We start from the raw sequence: 21,372 nt of genomic DNA, 5'->3' as shown, positions 1-21,372 counted from the left end.
GGAAGGGCTATAAAATGCAGCATTTCAATATCAATAATAAAGACAATATGAACAGCAATTCTTATAGAGGGCTTTCTACATCCTGGTCACAGGTAAAATGGCCTTACACATATTAACTCATTTAAATCTGCAATAAATCTTAAAGTCAGTGATACTAACCTTATTATGCAGAGGAGGAAACTTATGTGCAGAGGAGGAAACTTATGTGCAGAGCAGACATGTAACCTTCCTATAGTCACTGGTGGAATAGGTGGTCTAGCTAAGAATTTGTTCCAGGTTTCAGGACCCCAGATCTGTGTCCTTAAACACCATAATATGCTGCCTCTTCCAGAATATTTTGTAAAAGTATGGGGTACAAGTGCAATTTTGTGACATACACAGATTGTGTAGTAGGTCAAATCAGGGCTTTAGGATATTCATTGCCCAAATAATGTACATTGTCCCTATTAAGTAATTTCTCATCCTCCACTCCTCTCTAGAGATTTTAAGGCATACTTATTATTACTCACATGTCTTAGAATTCACTTTGGGAAGTGCTGACAAAGATTAATAAGTCATAAAGAAGAAGACCCATATCCTGGAGAATAGCTTAAGGTAGATAGCTAAGGAGAAGAATGCAGGTGATAGAAGAGAAGTTAGTCCAGAAGATATTACAAAAGTTAACAAAATAATGGGGAAGGGCAGGGCTTGTAATGATAAAGTTGTCATAAGAACCATCAATGAAAGGATATATAATAGTATAATAGAAATCTTCTTTTCTTTTTAGTGGAATTCTATATTCATTTTTAGCAGTTCACAAGCAGTGACTTAGTTTTATATTTCCATATTTTCTTCCGCATATGTATAAGCTTGTTTGCATTGCTATAAATAAATTCCCAAGACTGGGTAATTTATTTTTTAAAAAGGTTTATTTTGTCTCATGGTTCTATAGGCTGTATATGAAGTGTGGTGCTGGTATTTGCTTCTGGTGGGGGCCTCAGGAAGCTTACATTCATGACAGAAGCTGACCAGGGTGCAGGTGCATCACATGGTGAGAGAGGGAGCAAAGAGCAAAAAGGAAATTCCAGGATCTTTGAAACAAACAGATCTCACATGAACTCATAGAGTGAGAATTAATTCATTATGGCAAAGATAGAACAAAGCCATTCATGAGGGACCTGCCCCCATGATCTAGCCAATCCTCTATCAAGCCCAGCCTCTAACACTGGGGATTAGATATCAACATAAGATTTGGAAGGAACAAACATCCAAATTGTATCTAGGTTATCTTGGTTTGAAAAGTCAGTTATCTATTCTAAGTCCCTAGTTATCATGAACTTACTCTCTGAAAATGATGTGATATTTGTAGGAAATAAGATATTTCTTCATGATCTAGAAATTCAAATTATATAGTAAATTCATTTGATTAAAACAATTGTGTGCTAGCCCTTAGCTCTTAGGCATGCAGGCTATAGGAAGTTTTAATTTAAGTAGAGTTTAAATCTCTTTTTCCACATGAAACACGGTAAAACTCACTTCTTTAAAGAAAGTTGTCATTCAGTATGGGATGAACACTGAATCTTTGTGCAGCACTAGACTTGATGTAAATCAAAAGATATGTTCTCAAATCAGAGGGTATTTTGTAAATTGCAGTAACATTTTCCATAATCTGACTAATGTAAAACTCTATGCCAATGGTTCTTATTCAAAGGTTACGAATATGAAGATAACTTTCATTTATTTGTTATAGAAAGAAATATTTCAAGCCCTTGCTTCAAACCCATTGAAAATAATTATCTGGGAGTTTGTCTAGGGAAGTTTATAATATCAAAATATTTCCAGGTAAACTATGCACTCTCTTTTCCTTATTAAAAGATACTGCCAAGTAACACGAAGTAAAATAAAATTACTTGTAGGCCAGATACCTTGTCTAACCTCTAGCCCAACTGAATAACTCCTTTTTAATATCCTTGACAGATATCATATTACCTCTCATGTAATTGTTTCGTTTTCTTATAGAACTAGTTATAGATAGCAATAGTTCACATTTGTAAAATTATTAGAGTTTCTAAATGCTATGTAGATCTAGTCAATCTATTCAACAATCCTGTGAAATGAGACATTCATGGAAATTACCTCCATTTTTCAATTAATAAAATTAGTGGTATGGAGATTTACTGATTTTTACCACATTAAGAACTATCAAGTGTCAGAGCTGGGATAAAATTCAAGCCTGAAGATGTTACCATTACCTACACCATATGACATTCCTGTGAATGGGGTGATCATAGAAGACGATCTCTCTCACCAACTTCAAGTCTTTGTACAACTCTGCTTTTCTTAGATCCATCTGCATTTCTCTCTTCATCATAGTTTTCTGACTCTCATACAGTCTCAATTTATTTATTCAATTCTTCATAGAAATGTGATTATCTTGAATATTGACCCAAGGAGTTTAGGTGATCCTCTTATGTAATACCCTTTGCTCTCCTGTCATAAAACTTACTAAAGTTGGTTGAATTATGGTTAGTGTAATGACTCCTCATCTTTCAAGACTAACATCTCTTAATCTACATTGACCATGTCTTACTTTCTCACTGTAAACCTTCTATCTTCTATACTCAGCTCATTCCGTGGAAGAAATTCAATATAAATGGATATCTGTTGAATTAATGAATAAAATAAGGACATTTTTATTTTTAGTAAATTTTTCTAATAATTCAAGACAGTACTCCCCATCTCTCCAATTCCTTAAAGTAAATGCTTTTAAATTTGTTTGCTTTTTAGCTAGATTTTAAGAAGAAATGCACAATACCCAGTTGACTAGGTTAGATTCTGCGGGCTTTCTTTTTAACCTGAAGGGCTCAGAGCTGATTCTGCTACAGTTCATGTTATCTCAGTAGGGCTGACAACTACCTTACTACTGCTTCTTTACTTCTCCACTTTAATATGGACACTGAAATTGTATTAATTCTAAATCAAAATTGCCTTTCTGACAGCCCTGTCATCGCACTAACTTATTTTCCACTTGTAGTCAACTGAAACTCCTGGTCTTTTTCACTTAAACTGTCAGAAATTCACAACTCACCTGTCTTGTATTTCTGCATTTGGTTTCTGAAGCTAAGTAAATCAATAAATTAGATAATGAATTATTCAATATTGCTATTGGCTCATATTGCTTGTCTTGTTTTCTACTTTAAAAACATCTGGTGATATTTGTTGGTGAATTTTGAATATGGTTTACCTTCACATTTTTTTTTTTTCTATTGCTGCTGCAGTCATAAAAGATAGAATGTGTGCTGAGGTACCAAATGCTTCACTTCTACTTTTGCTTTGCCAGGGACTGGAAATATGGACACTGCCCTTTCTAAACTGTTTGCTCATCCCAGAACTCTCCTGTTTCCTTCAAGAAATGTATATGACCCAGTTGAAGCTTTTCAATAGCTTCCATAGCTCTGACTGCCTTTTTTATTTTTTTCTTTCTTTTTTTCTTTTTTGAGACAGAGTTGCTCTGTCACCCAGGTTGGAGTGCAGTGGTGCAATCTCGGCTCACTGCAACCTCCACCTCCTGGGTTCAAGCGATTCTCCTGATTCAGCCGCCCAAGTAGCTGGGATTATAAGTCCCCGCCACCACACCCTGCTAATTTTTTTGTTTTTAGTAGAGACAAGGTTTCACCATGTTGGCCAGGCTGGTCTTGAACTCCTGGCTTCATGTGATCTGCTTGCCTTGGCCTCCCAAAGTACTGGGATTACAGGTGTGAGCCACCGTGCCTGGCCTCTGATTGCCTTTAATCAGAGGCAAATTCATGTGAATTCTAAAACTGTTATTCTTACAATTTATGCATGATTTTTAAACTTTTTTTCTATTAAAGGATTTTTTACTTCTAAATAAATGCTTATTAGTACTTGAATTATAAAATAAATATTTTTGTTCAACATAACATGTTTTAATGCTAGATATCATACTTATGTAATAGCCAGTATCATCTAAACACAAATACATATATATATGTTGTAAACTTTAATTATTTTTCAGGATTAGTGTTGTTTACTATGTGAGTTTAGTATATTCCTGCTATAATTTAGTATTTAAGTCCCTTTGTATGAAAATTTTTAAAAATAACAAACAAAGCACCAGCCAGTAAGTAATAGTCATTGCTCTTTCTCTAGCTTACTAATGATACAGAAAACAAACAGAAAAAAAACCTTAAAAGCTTAGTTTCTTCAAAAATTCTTATAATGTGGAGTGGATAGAACATTCAGTGATTTAACTAGGGGGTTCTTCATGGTAATTTTCACTTCAAATTAATGCCTTCACTGTTTTTCTACAACTTCTACGGATGTCTCTCTAACTCTCTCTCCTCTCTCTGTATCAATATATTTATTTATGTCTATGCCTATATATGTATCTCTGAAAAAGTAGGACAAATTTGTGTCTGATTATAAAAGAGTATATGTATCACAGTTACAAGATGCACATTTCACTTTAATGAAGAAGAAAAATAGCAATATCGACAATTCACTGAGAAATACAAATGGGCTATATAATCACAAGACTCATCAAACTACCAGAAGAATAGAGGGATATGAATCTTCTGGGAAGGGCTTCTTTATAATGAAATTGTGTCTCTTGTTTTGTTTGTTTGCCTGTTTGTTTTTGAGACAGGGTCTTGCTATGTTGCCCATGCTGGAGTGCGGTGGCACAATCAAGGTTCACTGCAGTCTCTGTCTCCCAAACTCAAGTGATCCTCCCACCTCAGCCTCCAGAGCAGCAGGGACTACAGGTGCATGCCACCATGCTGGCTAATATTTTATTATTATTATTATTATTTTTTAGTGTAGACAAAGTCTCATTATATTCCTCAGGCTGGTCTCTAACTCCCAAGCTAAAGCAATCTTCCTGTCTTGGCCACTCTGAACCCAGTTTGTTTTATATGTCTTTATAATCTTAGCAGGCTCTTAATTATGTAAAGACAGTGAGAAAGACAGAAGTTACTTCAGTACTAAGTATATGTCTGAATATTGCATGATACTGAGGAGTATTTTGTACTGCTTGCATTAAGTAATACTAAGTATTTTCATATCTCCTAAACACAAGCTTGATGATTTCTCAGTTTAGGAAAATCCATAGCAAACTCATTCCCCTTATTAGATCTGAATACAGTAATTACAAATCACTTCCTTATAAAGATGAAGGGAGGGCGGTGCCTGGCTATCTGGTTCTTCTCATTACTTCTCTCACTTTTCTCTTCCCCAACTCCAATCTTATCCATTAACTCTCTGCTATGGGGACTAGGCAGCTCCAAAGTGACTTTCTTTTTGTCCAGAACTCCCATTGTCCATATTTATAATTTCTCAATGTTTATCTCACTGTATTTCACTTAAATACTCACACTACCAGTGAATATCCTAATAAGAATAGGTATTATTGTAACATTTTTTGTTGGAAGAGAGGTCAACATTGTACAGTGGGAAGGGCTTTAGAATATGTCTAATCTGGATTAAAACAGCAGTTTCATGACTTGCTTATTTTGTAGCCGTAGAGGAATATCTTAATGTTTTTGGTCCTTCTTTTCTTTATTTTCTAAAAAGAATAGGAACTAATTAGCTTGTTAGTTAAAATTAAATATGCTCATTACATAATTAACATTAAAAATATGTAAATTAACCTTAATATCACATCCCTGGGCAGTTTTAAACTGAAGCTAATGAACCCTTTGATCTGCACGACCCTCTTGTACACTGGCCTCTTTCTGAGGTAGTGTTGTAGCAATGTACACATATAGTTACATGCCTTCATAAAACTGAAAATAGTTTTTTCCTAACAATTAGTTGAGATTGTTATCTCTTTCTAGTTGAAATTTTCCTGTCTTAGAATTTCCCTCATGTTTATTGACAATGGAATGGGATTGGAAATTTTGCAGATCTGACTAAGGATGAGTTTTGTTGGGGATATACTTAGTTTACGTTTAGTAAAATTTTTTTTTATATTTAAATGGTATGTAGATGCATTTTAATAGAACTAGGTTATTGATGGTGTCTCATATGAAAATGGCTTCAATAAATACGTCTGCTCCCAAAGTACTGGATCACTTTACAGTCTGGTAAGAGGATACAGACTTAGTGGTCAGATATCATTCTGAATGTGTTATTCTCCTCCATTACTCTAGCAATTATGTTTGATTATTCCAAACATCAGCCTGAAATTCTCTATAAAATAATTTGCTTAGTAAAACAATACTAGCTGGAGCATCCAGGAGAAAAGTCAAAATAAGAAAACAAAAACAGAATTTATGAAAGAGGTAAAATATATTCCTATCTTTTTCACTCCTCTGCAATACGCACACAGACACACATACCACATACGCATGGGTGCATGTGTATGGGTATGTATTGTCAGACTGTTGAAAATCAGTTTTCATTGATCTCCATTGAAAAGAAAAGTTCTTCCCTTTTAGGAGAAACTAATTTTTTTCCTTTTTTAGTTGGAATTTTTCAAAATTGAATTTATTAGAATGACAGTTTATATTTTACCTACACAGAATATACTAGAGAAAAAGCAAGCTTATATGTCTGTGAAATCACGTTTTGAGCATCATGAATCATCACATTATTTCTTCAACTACCTGAATTATATTTAATTTTTTAAGAAACTGCCAAAATGCCTTTCAACACGGCAGTACCATTTTGCATTCCTACTGGCGATGAATGAAGTTTCTATTGTTCCTTATCCTCACCAACATGTGTTATTGTCAGCACGCTGGATTTTGATCAATCTAATGGATGTGTAGTTGTACCTCTGCGAAGTTTTATCTAGTTATTCTAACCCACAATTTTCTTTCCTTTCTATTAATTCTTCAAATGAAGTCACATACTGCAGTTCTATGGGCTGAATCAGCCTGCAAGATTTTTTTGTGTGTGAGTGGGGACACATTGTTTAAAATATTTTAGTTTGAATTTCTTTCAACGGAGTGAACTCTCAAGTTCAACACCATTCTCACCACTACTTACTGTTTTTTAATCACCTCAGTTTCCTAATTTCATTCATCTGCTGTGTCCTTAAAGACATTTGAATTTAAAACCACTGCAATTCACTTGGGCTTTAATGCAGTGGGTATTGTTAGTTATTGTATTAGGGTTCTCCAGAAAAACAGAACCAATAGGATGTGTCTTCATGGAGAAAGACATTTATTTTAAGAAACTGACTCGTATAATTGTGGGAAAAATTTAAGACGCAGATCATTAGAAAATTCTGGTAGAAGTTGGCCGGGCATGGTGGCTCACGCCTGTAATCCCAACACCTTGGGAGGCCGAGGCGGGTGGATCACGAGGTCGAGAGATCGAGACCATCTTGGCCAGCATGGTGAAACCCCGTCTCTACTAAAAACACAAAAATTAGCTGGGCGTGGTGGCACACGCCTGTAGTCCCAGCTACTCAGGAGGCTGAGGCAGGAGACTCGCTTCAACCAGGGAGTTAAGAGTTTGCAGTGAGCCCAGATCGCGCCACAGAACTCCTGCACTCCAGCCTGGGGACAGAGCGAGACTCTGCCTCAGCTGGGCACGGTGGCTCATGCCTGTAATCCCAGCACTCTGGGAGGCCGAGGCGGGCAGATCATGAGGTCAGGAGACCGAGACCATCCTGGCTAACATGGTGAAACCCCATCTCCACTAAAAATGCAAAAAAAAAAAAAAATAGCCGGGAGTTGGGGCAGGCCCCTGTAGTCCCAGCTACTCTGGAGGCTGAGGCGGGCAGATCATGAGGTCAGGAGATCGAGACCATCCTGGCTAACATGGTGAAACCCCATCTCCACTAAAAATACATAAAAAAAAAAAATAGCCGGGAGTGGGAGCAGGCCCCTGTAGTCCCAGCTACTCTGGAGGCTGAGACGGGAGAATGGTGTGAACCCAGGAGGCGGAGCTTGCAGTGAGCCGAGATCGCGCCAGTGCACTCCAGCCTGGGCAACAGAGTGAGACTCCGAAAAAAAAAAAAAGAAAGAAAGAAAGAAGGAAAGAACGAAGTTAGGAAGGAAGGAAGGAAGGAAAGAAGGAGGGAAGGAAGGAAGGAAGGAAGGAAGGAAGGAAGGAAGGAAGGAAGGAAGGAAGGAAGGAAGGAAAGAAAGAGAGAGAGAGAAAGAAAGACAGGAAGGAAGGAAAGGAAAAGAAAGGAAAGGAAAGACAAAGTGAGAAAGAAAAAGAAAGAAAGAGAGAGAGACAGGAAGAAAGAGAAAGAAAGAAAAAGAAAGAAAGAAAGTTTCGGTAGAAGTTAATGTTGCAGTCTTAAGTTAGAAGGCATTCTAGAGGCATAAATGTAAGTAATATTTTATAGTGATAGTCTAAATTGTTTAACAGATAACCCTTACCAAAATGCTAGGGGATCATTAATAAGGGCAATTACCTAATACTATCTTCTAAGAAAAATGATTGCATATGCTATATGCAAAATTATACTTATTTAGATTCTTAAACCATCTGTCAATGGTTCATATTACAATAGTTTTCAGTACAATTAATTTAAACGGAGAGAAGAAAAACTCAAATTAGGAAATAATTTTAGGCATCTTTTCAAAATCAAAGTACATAAAATATTAATAGCTTATTATTTAATACCATATTTCAATTTTTTAATATTTGTCTCTAAAATATTTAGACATCATGTTAGTATAAATAATGGTTAAAATCTTGATAAACTCAATAAACCAATCTCTCTAAACCAATGTTAAACAGTTAGTACATAGTCTTAACAGATTATTTATTAGTTGAGCAAGAAAGGCCCAGCCAGGCAAATACATATCAATATTCTACTCTATGGCTTACTTTTCAATGGCTAGCTCATTAACATCTTTTTTATTATGATATATATATATCTTGGCTGGGTGTGGTGGCTCGCTCCGGTAATCCCAGCCCTTTGGGAGGCTGAGGCAGGCGGATCACCCGACATCGGGAGTTTGAGACCAGCCTGACCAACATGGAGAAATCCTGTCTCTACTAAAACACAAAAAATTAGCCAGGCATGGTGGCACATGCCTGTAATCCCAGCTACTCGGGAGGCTGAGGTAGGAGAATTGCTTGAACCTGAGAGGCCGAGGTTGCGGTGAACCAAGATCACACTGTTGCACTCCAGCCTGGGCAACAAGAGTGAAACTCTCTCTCAAAAAAAAAAAAAAAAAAAGATACATATATCTTGCATAAACATGTTCAGAAGTGCATATGATTGTTTCCGAGAATTGGATTACATTTAAACTATTGTTTATTATTGAATATTTTAGTCATCTTCATGTTTCTTTACTACAATACAACAAAGAATTCCATATGCATATAGTATGCAGCCATATGCTTTTACATATGCATTTTGTTATATAATTGTGCAAGTTATTTCATTATACATGTTAAATACAGAGAATGAAAAATAATCATAAAATAAAAATACTTGGAAAAGCAATTCTTTGTGACTCGAAGGTTCAAATTAACTTCGACACATACAGGAAAATGATTTCCTGTTTTTTACTGTGTTTCTGGTCTTTTACTCCTAAAATAGTTACATAAAATTCTACTGATTCTTATTTTTCTAATTATCAGTCTATTCAACCTTTTTGTCCATGTTACTCATATATTATTTTCTCAGGTACCATCCTAATACCCCTCAGCCATTTGATTAAACAAATCCCCTCAGCTCACTTGTATGCTATTACAGTTGCAGCAGTTTAATGTACACCTTTCTAAAATCCTGTGCTTTGGACCCATTTTGTTTCTCCCCAATCCACAGAATAGAGAATTAAGCCAGAAAAAGAAAAGTTAGCTTGATCTTGATCAGCTTAATCTAGAATTTATCACTTCTATTCAAAATGGTTTTACATGTACATAGTGTTGTCAACATATTTATAATCATAAGAAATATAAATTTCAACAATTACTAATTGCATATTCTATAAAAAGAACCTCATTATCTGTTATAATTTTATACTTCATTAAAGCTTTTTGTGTGTGTATCGTACTCTTTCTCATCATCAAAGAGTATCTGAAGCTCATTAACTATCTTGAAATGACAAATTACTTTCTTTCTTTGACTACAAGTTTCTCTCCTTTTTATCAGTAAGCATTTTCCTTTCAAGATTACATTTAATCTTTTTTTACCCTTTAAATGATTTACTTCTTAACTAACATGAACAACTTTATAATTAAATGTTTTGACAGGAAAAAAGCTTATCTGTTTTGCTGAAGAGCATATATATAGATTGGTACACTATATAAAAAGTTTTTATCCCTAACAGTACGGAAATGGAAATATAAGGAATATTATGAATACAAAAATAATCTTTAAGCTTGATTAATACAAATGCTTTTAAGGATTCTAAATTTTAATGGACTTGAGAATTTCATATGTATTTATCTTATTATGGTTAAATCACATAGCTGAACTCTTTTCCACTGATAACTGTGAAGAGTATTATCATGTCTAAATCATTTAAATATGGGAAAAACAGTTCTGCTGTGGTGTCAGTAAGTGATAATTAGTCTTCCTGTTCACATTTTTTTGCCTTATACACTTTCAAGAGTGAATTTTGTGTTGATCTCAATAGCAATGAAAACAACTAAATATACCAGATTTCACAGAGCAGATATCACATATGGGATGGCTGCCAAGAGAAAACCACTCAGGTTCCAAGCCCCATGATGAGCTCTGGGATATAGACCTGTCATGAAGAGCAACTCAATCTCTTCCATATTTGTAAATAAAAAATAAAAATAAGGGTACAGAAATAATTCATGACAGTAGGAAATTATACATTTCATTTTGTATTGGCGGAGCCCTACTTTTACAAACTTACTTTTATTTTTTATCACGTCAGTCTCTATTTTACTGCTTGTCAAGAGTGCAATTAATGCTGATTTTACTGAAAGACATATTTATTAATAAGCAGTTAAATCCGCCTTCAGGAATACTCAAATGATTTTTTTAAAATATAATGTTTAAAATTGTATGCCTCTAAAATCTATATAATTATACATTACATAATTTAAGATAATTTTATCATTTTGTATATACACAGACACATATAATTCTGCCAGCGTGTAGTATAAAAATTTATTATTTTTCTTTCAAATAATGCACTCTTTATAAATGAATATGATGTTAAAATATACCTACTTTTTTCTAATTTTGATGAAATAATTTAATCTATAAGTTCATTTTATGAGAAGTTTTGCAAAATTGGTATAAGATAAGGCAGGATATACCAACAAATTCAGAAAAAGAAATTTTTACAGCAACTGCTTTTACAATCTTCTGAGAATTTCTTTTTTTTTTCTCCTCACCCTGCTTCTTTTATTTAATAATATGTCTTGAAGATCTTTCCATAAAAGCAGGTACATATCTACCTCTTTGTTTTTAAGAGCTGCACAATATTATAACATATGGATACACCATAATTTATTAAGCCAGTTGCCTGTTGATATATTTGTTGCTTGTTTTTAATTTTTTTTCTTTTTTTATTATACTTTAAGTTTTAGGGTACATGTGCACAACGTGCAGGTTTGTTACATATATACATATATGTGCCATGTTGGTGTGCTGTACCCATTAACTCGTCATTTAGCATTAGGTATATCTCCTAATGATATCCCCCCCACTCCCCCCACCTCACAACAGGCCCCAGTGTGTGATGTTCCCCTTCCTGTGTCCATGTGTTCTCACTGTTCAATTCCCACCTATGAGTGAGAACATGTGGTATTTGGTTTTTTGTCCTTGCGATAGTTTGCTCACAATGGTGGTTTCCAGCTTCATCCATGTCCCTACAAAGGACATGAACTCATCATTTTTTATGGCTGCATAGTATTCCATGGTGTATATGTGCCAAATTTCTTAATCCAGTCTATCATTGTTGGACATTTGGGTTGGTTCCAAGTCTTTGCTATTGTGAATAGTGCCACAGTAAACATACGTGTGCATGTGTCTTTATAGCAGCATAACTTATAATCCTTTGGGTATATACCCAGTAATGGGATGGCCGGGTCAAATGGTATTTCTAGTTCTAGATCCCTGAGGAATTGCCACACTGACTTCCACAATGGTTGAACTAGTTTACAGTCCTGCCAACGGTGTAAAAGTGTTCCTATTTCTCCACATCCTCTCCAGCACCTGTTGTTTCCTGACTTTTTAATGATTGCCATTCTAACTGGTGTGAGATGGTATCTCATTGTGGTTTTGATTTGCATTTCTCTGATGGCCAGTGATGATAAGCATTTTTTCACATGTCTTTTGGCTGCATAAATGTCTTTTTTGGAGAAGTGTCTGTTCATATCCTTCACCCACTTGTTGATGGGGTTGTTTGTTTTTTTCTTGTAAATTTGTTTGAGTTCTGGATTTGTAGATTCTGGATACTAGCCCTTTGTCAGATGATTAGATTGCAAAAATTTTCTCCCATTCTGTAGGTTGCCTGTTTACTCTGATGGTAGTTTCTTCTGCTAGGTACCAGGAGGAGCTGGTACCATTCCTTCTGAAACTATTCCAATTAATAGAAAAAAAGGGACTCCTCCCTAACTCATTTTATGAGGTCAGCATCATCCTGATACCAAAGCCTGGCAGAGACACAACAAAAAAAGAGAATTTTAGACCTCTATCCCTGATGAGCATCGATGCAAAAATCCTCAATAAAATACTGGCAAACCGAATCCAGCAGCACATTAAAAAGCTTATCCACCATGATCAAGTGGGCTTCATCCCTGGGATGCAAGGCTGGTTCAAAATAGGAAAATCAATAAATGTAATCCAGCATATAAACAGAACCAATGACAAAAACCACATGATTATCTCAACAGATGCAGAAAAGGCCTTTGACAAAATTCAACAGCCCTTCATGCTAAAATCTCTCAATAAATTAGGTATTGATGGGACGTATCTCAAAATAATAAGAGCTATTTATGACAAACCCACAGCCAATATCATACTGAATGGGCAAAAACTGGAAGAATTCCCTTTGAAAACTGGCACAAGACAGGGATGCCCTCTCTCACCGCTCCTATTCAACATAGTGTTGGAAGTTCTGGCCAGGGCAATCAGGCAGGAGAAAGAAAAAAAGGGTATTCAATTAGGAAAAGACAAAGTCAAATTGTCCCTGTTTGCAGATGACATGATTGTATATCTAGAAAACCCCATTGCCTCAGCCCAAAATCTCCTTAAGCTGATAAGCAACTTCAGCAAAGTCTCAGGATACAAAATCAGTGTGCAAAATCACCAGCATTCTTATACACCAATAACAGACAAACAGCCAAATCATGAGTGAACTCCCATTGACAATTGCTTCAAAGAGAACAAAATACCTAGGAATCCAACTTACAAGGGATGTGAAAGACCTCTTCAAGGAGAACTACAAACCACTGCTCAGTGAAATAAAAGAGGATACAAACAAATGGAAGAACATTCCATGCTCATGGGTAGGAAGAATCAATATTGTGAAAATGGCCATACTGCCCAAGGTAATTTATAGATTCAATGCCATCCCTTTCAAGCTACCAATGACTTTCTTCACAGAATTGGAAAAAACTACTTTAAAGTTCATATGGAACCAAAAAAGAGCCTGCATTGCCAAGTCAATCCTAAGCCAAAAGAACAAAGCTGGAGGCATCATGCTACCTGACTTCAAACTATACTACAAGGCTACAGTAACCAAACCATGATACTGGTACCAAAACAGAGATATAGACCACTGGAACAGAACAGAGAATTTCTTAATGACTGAAATTTTATGAGAGAGAGAGAGAAAATCTAAAGTGTTTAAGTATCAGAAATTTTTAATTCAGCAAATTAAATATATTTTGTTATACAAGGGTCCAGAAATTTTTATATCTGCCCCCCAGGTGAACAGAATTAGATTAATTTTCATATATATTTACTACATGGAAGTTCAGTCTGTGTATGGCTGTATGCATGTAGGTAGGTAGGTAGTGTGTATGCATTTTTATTATATGATAAGCAACCACAAAATCAACAAAAACTCAAAGCTAGAAATGTGTCAAGATCTACTTCTAGCTATTCTTTTCATCTACTTTTGATTATTTGTTATTCTACCTCCTTGCTTATAACTAGAGATAGTCCATATCTTGAGTTTTTTATACCTAGAGATACTCAATATCTTGAATTTTTTTGTTTTCATTGTTTCTTTTCATATTGTAAAAAGTGTTGTTACATATATGCTTATGTCTGTACAATTCTTGTTTAGATCTTACTTGTTTTTGAATATTGTATAAAAAATCATCTCCAAGGACTTGCTTATTTCATCTTAATTATAATTAAATTACTATTAACTTATATCCATATTGTATCTATGAAGCTGTGGTCCATTCATGCCCATATTTAATATTACATTGTGTAAATATATGACAATTTATCTTTGGTTTTCTGACTTTTATCTATTAAAAACATTGATGTAATGAGCATTATTATTTTCTTTTTCTTTCAAATATTTTATGGGCATATGTTTAGTCCTTCACAAATAAACATATTGTTAGATTTTTAAAAATCCATTGTGATAGTTTGTTTCTCTTAGCTAGCATGTTTATTCAATTGAAATGTATGTATGTATGTATGTGTGTGTTCTCCAATGTTGCAACTTGTTAATAAACTTGACTCTGTTTAACTACATATTTGTTCCTGGTTGGCTTTGGCTGGAATGCATGAAAATTATCATCAACTCAGTTTAAAAGAAGTGATTTGCTCTCTCTCAACACATTAATCTCTCCCTAAACGTGTTTTTAAATTATAAGGTTTTTTATAATCAAAAGGATCTTATAACAGAGAATATACAGCATTTCTGGTTATTTGCTACAACTTGCATAATAACAATATATTTTTTGTTTTATCTTGATCAGTTTTCATATCTTTATTTGTCCCAGATGTTTTAATTTTTTTATGAGAGCAAGTTTCCAATAAAGCTTGAAAATCTTTTATGGATCCAACATTTTCCTGACCTTTCTGGGCCTCAAGCCAGGTAGATTCATATTTAAATGTCAATATTTGATGTATTTCTCAGTTTACATATATTTTTCTCCCAGTTGGAATGTGGCTTGCTGTAAAATGAAATCTCTATTTCAGAACATGGAATTACATGAAAGTGTTCAACTTGGAGGTAAAAGACAGGAGCAGAACATATCTTAAACATTGAATATCTGTACCTACAGTTCAGGCTGGTATAATTCCATGTGTTTTAGAATACATGCTGGCTTATTTTCAGGCAATATGAACTCAGTTTCTTCCTCTTTACTTTATGAGTACAAGCATTTGTTCAAGGGCTACTACTTAATTCACTTTATTGTATATCATTTTAGACCATAAATCCCAAGATGCAGAGAGACCAGCAACAAAATATTTATGTACTTCACATATTATCTTAAATACACAGTCTGCTCTTTTTCTAACATCAAAAGCAGCATTAATCTGCCTAGCACAAAAACACTTAAAATGTGGTTAAGTAAATATAATTATATATCATCATCTAACTGACAAAAATAATAATAAACCAATTGCTTAGCATTTACTTTGTATTTTTTATTTTTCTTTAAAGCTAAGTGCTTTTAGTGGACATTTATGCAACCCTCAGAACAGCCCTGTGGTCTTAACGTTAATATTAACCCTTTTCATTGATGAAGAAATTTAGTCTTACATAGTAAATTACTTATTCAAGGTCATCCATGAGTAACCTATTTATTTAAAGATTTAGTGCAATTAATATCAAAATTTAATCTCTAACTCTATTCAAAACTTCTTACATCTTTCCCTCATCTCAAATATGATTTCTCACCACTCATTCCATAGAGCAGCAATGATGGTTCCAGCTTCTAGCTTGATGTTCTCCCTGTTCCAATTCCTTTATCTCTTGCCCCCTTCCTTTTGCCTCTTCTGATCTCAGGGCAAGAAATGAGTGATATAAAATATTGAAAATATGGAAATACAGTAATGAAGCAAACTTATACTAACTGTTTAGTTTTATTTGTAGTTTTCTCTTTTCTCTCATGACAGGCTACAATAACTGTCACTGGCTATGATTAACACAAATTTATCTAAAATTTCATAGGTTTTATTTAGCTCTGTTGGAAAGCTAGTCTCCATGATATTTCTGGACATCTTGCATCAGCTTTTGTGCTGGACCAACTTTTCAAGAATGTTTGCATAGCAAACAGGTTTGGAAATAAGCATAGTATCTTCCTGCCTGTCAAAGAGCAAATTTGTTTATTATCCTTTAAATTTCTTTAAACTTGTTGAAGGATAATAAAGATAATGTCTCCCTCCAGGGTAATATTTGGGCAAGCTTGCTAGATGCCTCCTTTAAAATATTGAAGTTTCCTAAACTTGGGGTTTCTCAGCTATGAACCAAATCTACCATGTGTCCTCCATATAACTGAGCCTGCTCCTGCATTTCCCATAGGGGATAGGGGAAAGAGTCACTACTGATGTAAACATTAAGCTCATTCTCTATGCTGTGCCATGATAAATAAATCCCTTTGTTGCTAACCCAGGAATCTCTTTTATATGCTTCCATCTATGAAACCTGGGAAGGCTAACTTGTTAGCTTAAAGAAAAAGTTCAACGCCTTCAAAATTCTTAACAAGGTTCTTCCCCACTGATACATCTCTGGAAGGGGTCACTATTGGGCAGGGTTCTTTGAGAAAACTGCAAGACCTGATCCTTTCCCCAAGTCACTCAGAGCAAAGGAAAAGTCAGCTCTATAAAGCTCTGATAATTTAGGCTTTCTCATTGCTGTTTCTCATCTGCCCACCCACAAGGACTTTGAACAACCACTTTAGGACTTCTTTGGGCAAAAGTTGGCATTAGGTTCTCAGATCTTCATAAGGGGCATGCCAAGTTCTCCCAATAACTCTTTCATGCTCTGGTCATGTTGCGGCACTGGAGAGGCAATGGAGATATTGCAGTTCAGGCGGTATCCAGCTGTTCCGAAATGTGCTAGCATTTGCTTTTTCACTAATATCTAATCTATTTAATGGTCCTACTTAAAGTAACCAGTCAACTAATTGATTGTTACTGGCCAATGAGATAAGAAACTTGTGATAATTGGTGTATCTCTACACTGTTTCTGTCATTGGAAACATTTTCCTGTGGAAAAATAAAATGACAGCTGAATTAAATAGAATACTTGAAGACGTTATTTTATTGTGGTGCAAACTCCTTGTCGCATTGTGGGCTAGGGAAGTATTGCTAATATTACATTTAATCATACACATTTATTATGTAGGTTCATACTATTTCTTACCTGAGACCAGGAAAAATAGCTTAGAGCTCTTTACTCTCTTAAAAATCTCTTTAATGAATCACTTTTCCAAGCCTTCTCTAGTCTTTTATTCTTGCAAATATTGGAGGTATTGGTCACCGATTATTTTTGATTTCTTCTTGCAGGTCCCATTGACATGTGTCTTTTTGTTTTGTTTTGTTTTGTTTTGTTTTTTGCATTTATCTCTCATCCTCACCTTTGAAGTCATGGCCAATACATTAAAATAAAAGAATACATAATCATCAGTTGAGCTCAGATGCAAAGTCACAGAGAGGTAAAAAGGGCAGAAATAAGCAATTTTGGAGAGGTCTTAAGAGGAATCTATATCTAAACTATCATAACTAAATTAATCCAACATACGATGTCGAGATCTCTAAAACAATGTTTCTCACTATGTTTTCTTAATCATTTCCTCTCTGTTTGGAGCCAATGCTTTTAAAACTAGGATACAAGTTGATTATTTGAAAAAGAAATTTAAAAATACATGAAGTACAAGCTCAACATTTTTATCAATAGATTCAACAGACATAAAATTACTGTCACAATGATTATAATATTGTTTGACATCAATTCCTATGCTAACTTGTGTGGTCAGTAATAAATACTTTATGAGGGAAATGAGTCTGTGGACTGCAATTTGAGTATGAATATGCCAAAACATTTCTGGATATTAATATTATATTCAGTGGCCCACATTATTCCTTACTGTACAGAATAGTCCAAATGTCAAGGTTTTTTCCCAAGTCAAGTGACTGATCTTTTTAGAACTTTGATTAAAATTTGGACCATCCTTAATGTTTATCCTTCCAAAAATAGTGATATTTCTGTTATTTTAATAATTATTGGTATGTTGCTATTTCCTCATATAGTTCACTAATAAAAGGTTATTAATTCACTTATATGTAAACTGTAGTTTAATTTCTATATTTACTGTTGCTAACTTGCTATTTTGTGGTATCATTTCAAATACCTATACTAATTATTTGCAGAAAAAATAACTCTCTTTAAAAAAATTCTGTTCATCTGTACATACAATGTTATATTTCTGGATTCGAGAGCACATCTGGTGGTTTTGTTGTTGTTGTTGTTGTTGTTTTTGAGACAGAGTCTCCCTCTGTTGCCAGGCTGGAGTACAGTGGCATGATCTTGGCTCACAGCAGCCTCCGCTTCCCAGGTTCAAGTGATACTCATGCCCCAGCCTCCCAAGTAGCTGGGACTACAGTCATGTGCCACCACTCCCAGCTAATTTTTGTATTTTTAGTAGAGACAGGGTTTCACCATGTTGGCCAGGATGGTCTCGATCTCTTGACCTCATGATACACCCGCCTCAGCCTCCCAAAGTGCTGGGATTACAGGCATGAGCCACTGTGCCCAGCTGCCCATCTGTTTTTAAATGTTAATTTACCAACATGACTGCAGTTTAAACAGTAGAGATTTGTGGCTGCTCTTGGTATTCTGTAATAAAGTTTTCTTTCCCAATAGTCAAAATCTTTTGGGAATTTTGCATGATCTTCAGTGTTAACATAACTTGTTGGCACTAATGATTGCTAGTCATTTGATTCTGTGCAAAAGAACTTACATTTAAGCATAGTACTATCAGAATATTTAAAATGTAATTCCTCTTTAATAACATTAATGAACATTTAAAATCATGTTGCACTTTTCTACTATTCTTTCTTACTACCACCAAGGATTTTTTGGTTATTATTTTTTGCTTCACCCTCTACTTCTGCAGCTAAGGAGCATTACATTTCATTTCTTTGTCGCATTTGAAATAATGAGGCTATATCAGTAGCACTAAGGAAACTATTCCATATTTGATTAAATCCTTGCAGAGTGCAGCCAGCTTTCTTTTATATTTGTAGCTACTATCTCACCCACTTAATCCTCCTATGCCATCTAATTTCAAAATGTGATTGTCATTTGGAGATCCCTTTTATATGTCATACCTAAAGGACCATCAGCTTTTCCATCATAAAACCAATATGCACAAATCATGATCTCTTTGTAGTCCATGTGACATATGATTTAGGTAATAACAAATAATCATAATTATTTTTTCTGCTGCTAGAAAGGATATAGTCTAAAAGATGAGTTCTCTTAAATGATTAAGTGTATGTTTTTAAAATTCATGTTTTTGTATCACTTCCGAATAGCATTCCTTAAAATTATGCAGTTCAGTCATTCTAATAATATCTCTGCCACTGAACTAATATGGCATGTTAGCTACTTCTTAACACAAGGGACGTGAATGTTATATTGAATTAAGTTTCAATCTAAGTAATTGCATTTAAATTTGAGAATTAGCACATATTTTGAAACTATTTGAATAATTTGTTCAATTATTTGCTTGTTAAACCAATAAGTAAGTTTTTGAAGTGCCTCTGGTCAATTTGAGGAAATAATATTGGTATACAGTTAACATTGCAAGGTACATACTAATACAATAGGCACACTAGTTTGTTTATTTGCTTATTGTTTTGCTTCTGAGCTTCCAGTAACCCTTCCATTTATTGGGAATACTTTAATGTATTAGACTGAGTAAAGTCCCTTTCTTCAATTGAATGCATTAACCTACTATTCTGGACCTTGAGTGAATAAAATATTAAGAACAGCAGTGAAAGTACTCATTGCTTCAGTGGTACTGAGAGTCTATTTCCAGTAAAGCCAGCACCTGCATTCTAAGGGACTGCTGCTCTATGTGCTGGGCTCTAACCTTCACTGCTCAGCCTCCACTAGCTCCTGACAATTTTCTGATCTTGGTTTTTCAGCAGTCCCATGGATTCTATGACATCCCTGTTGACAGAAAATAAAAATAAAAACAATAACAATTGAAACAATTTTTAAAAATCTCTCTCAAAGATCCTGATAGATGCAATCCAGAAATGGGATGGTGGTTCTAATCTAGTAAGTCTACAGAAGACTTCATACCTTCCAGCTCTTTGTTTTGTCATTCTAAGTGTGTATGATTGGTCTGCAGGTCCACGTGAGAGCTCCACCTGTCAAGAAGTAGTAGAAACAGGAAGGAACAAAGAAGGGAGAAGGTGTCTTAAGGCTCCCCGAAAATCAGAAAATGCTACTTGCCTCTTCTATTCAAGCTCCGGAGAAGTGGTCTTTCTGCCTTTGATCAGAGCTTAATTGCATGGTCATCCCTAAAAGCAACAGAGGATGGGTGGTATATGTAGCTTTTATTAAAGGATAATTTGTGTCCTCATTTGGCCTCCCAAATATGCTCATTTCCTCCTCTTTCTACATATAAACACAGGCACTTTCTACCTAAGTAAGAAGAATAACTTTGTTTAGCTCCTCTCTGCAATGTGCAATGCCCTCCAGCATGTTCAGTTTTAGATTATTGTGGTCAGGTGATTTATAAATAAAGATATTTATTACTTATACCCCCAGATCTTTTAAAATAAAAGAAAGTAGGAACAAGATAAAAGGAATTAAGGAAAAAGAAAGCAAACAAAAAACTTCACATTAGGGCAAAGGGATATTGTTCAAAGCACTCAGAAGTTGCATGTCCCTAGTAGTTATTAATTCATGCTTAGAAAGAATGCAAAAATTTGCTTCACTCAAAGTAGAATATCAGTTAGCTCATCTTACAGCTCAATGTACTATTCATTAGGAAGAATTCTCTTGCCCATTGATCCTCATGGTCATTGACTTTGTTGCTTGAAAATTCTTCTCTTTTATCTTCCATTGCCTCTTCTGAACTGGACATTATGAAATTAGGCCTTCCACTTCCACTTCGTATGGTATACATTTGTGAGCCTGGTAATATGGTAATTTCTTTTTTTTTTTAAGATGGAATCTCACCTGTCGCCCAAGCTGGAGTGCAGTGGCACAATCTCGGCTCACTGCAACCTCTGCCTCCCAGGTTCAAATGATTCTTCTGCCTCAGCCTCCGGAGTAGCTGAGATTACAGGCGTGTGACCAGGCCTGGCTACTGTTTGTATTTTTTAGGAGAGACGCAGTTTCACCATGTTGGCCAGGCTGGAGGGTGATTTCTAGAAGTTGAAAATGTCAGGAGATTTTGATATCTTTGGCAATACAATTTTTTTGAAACAATAATCTTCTGATTTATTATTTCTGGTCAGTTCCATATGCAGAAAAC

The sequence above is a fragment of the Homo sapiens genome, chromosome 13 (assembly GCF_000001405.40).
Source record: "Homo sapiens chromosome 13, GRCh38.p14 Primary Assembly".
Lineage (NCBI taxonomy): Eukaryota > Metazoa > Chordata > Mammalia > Primates > Hominidae > Homo > Homo sapiens.
Note: the sequence above shows the minus strand (reverse complement) of the source record.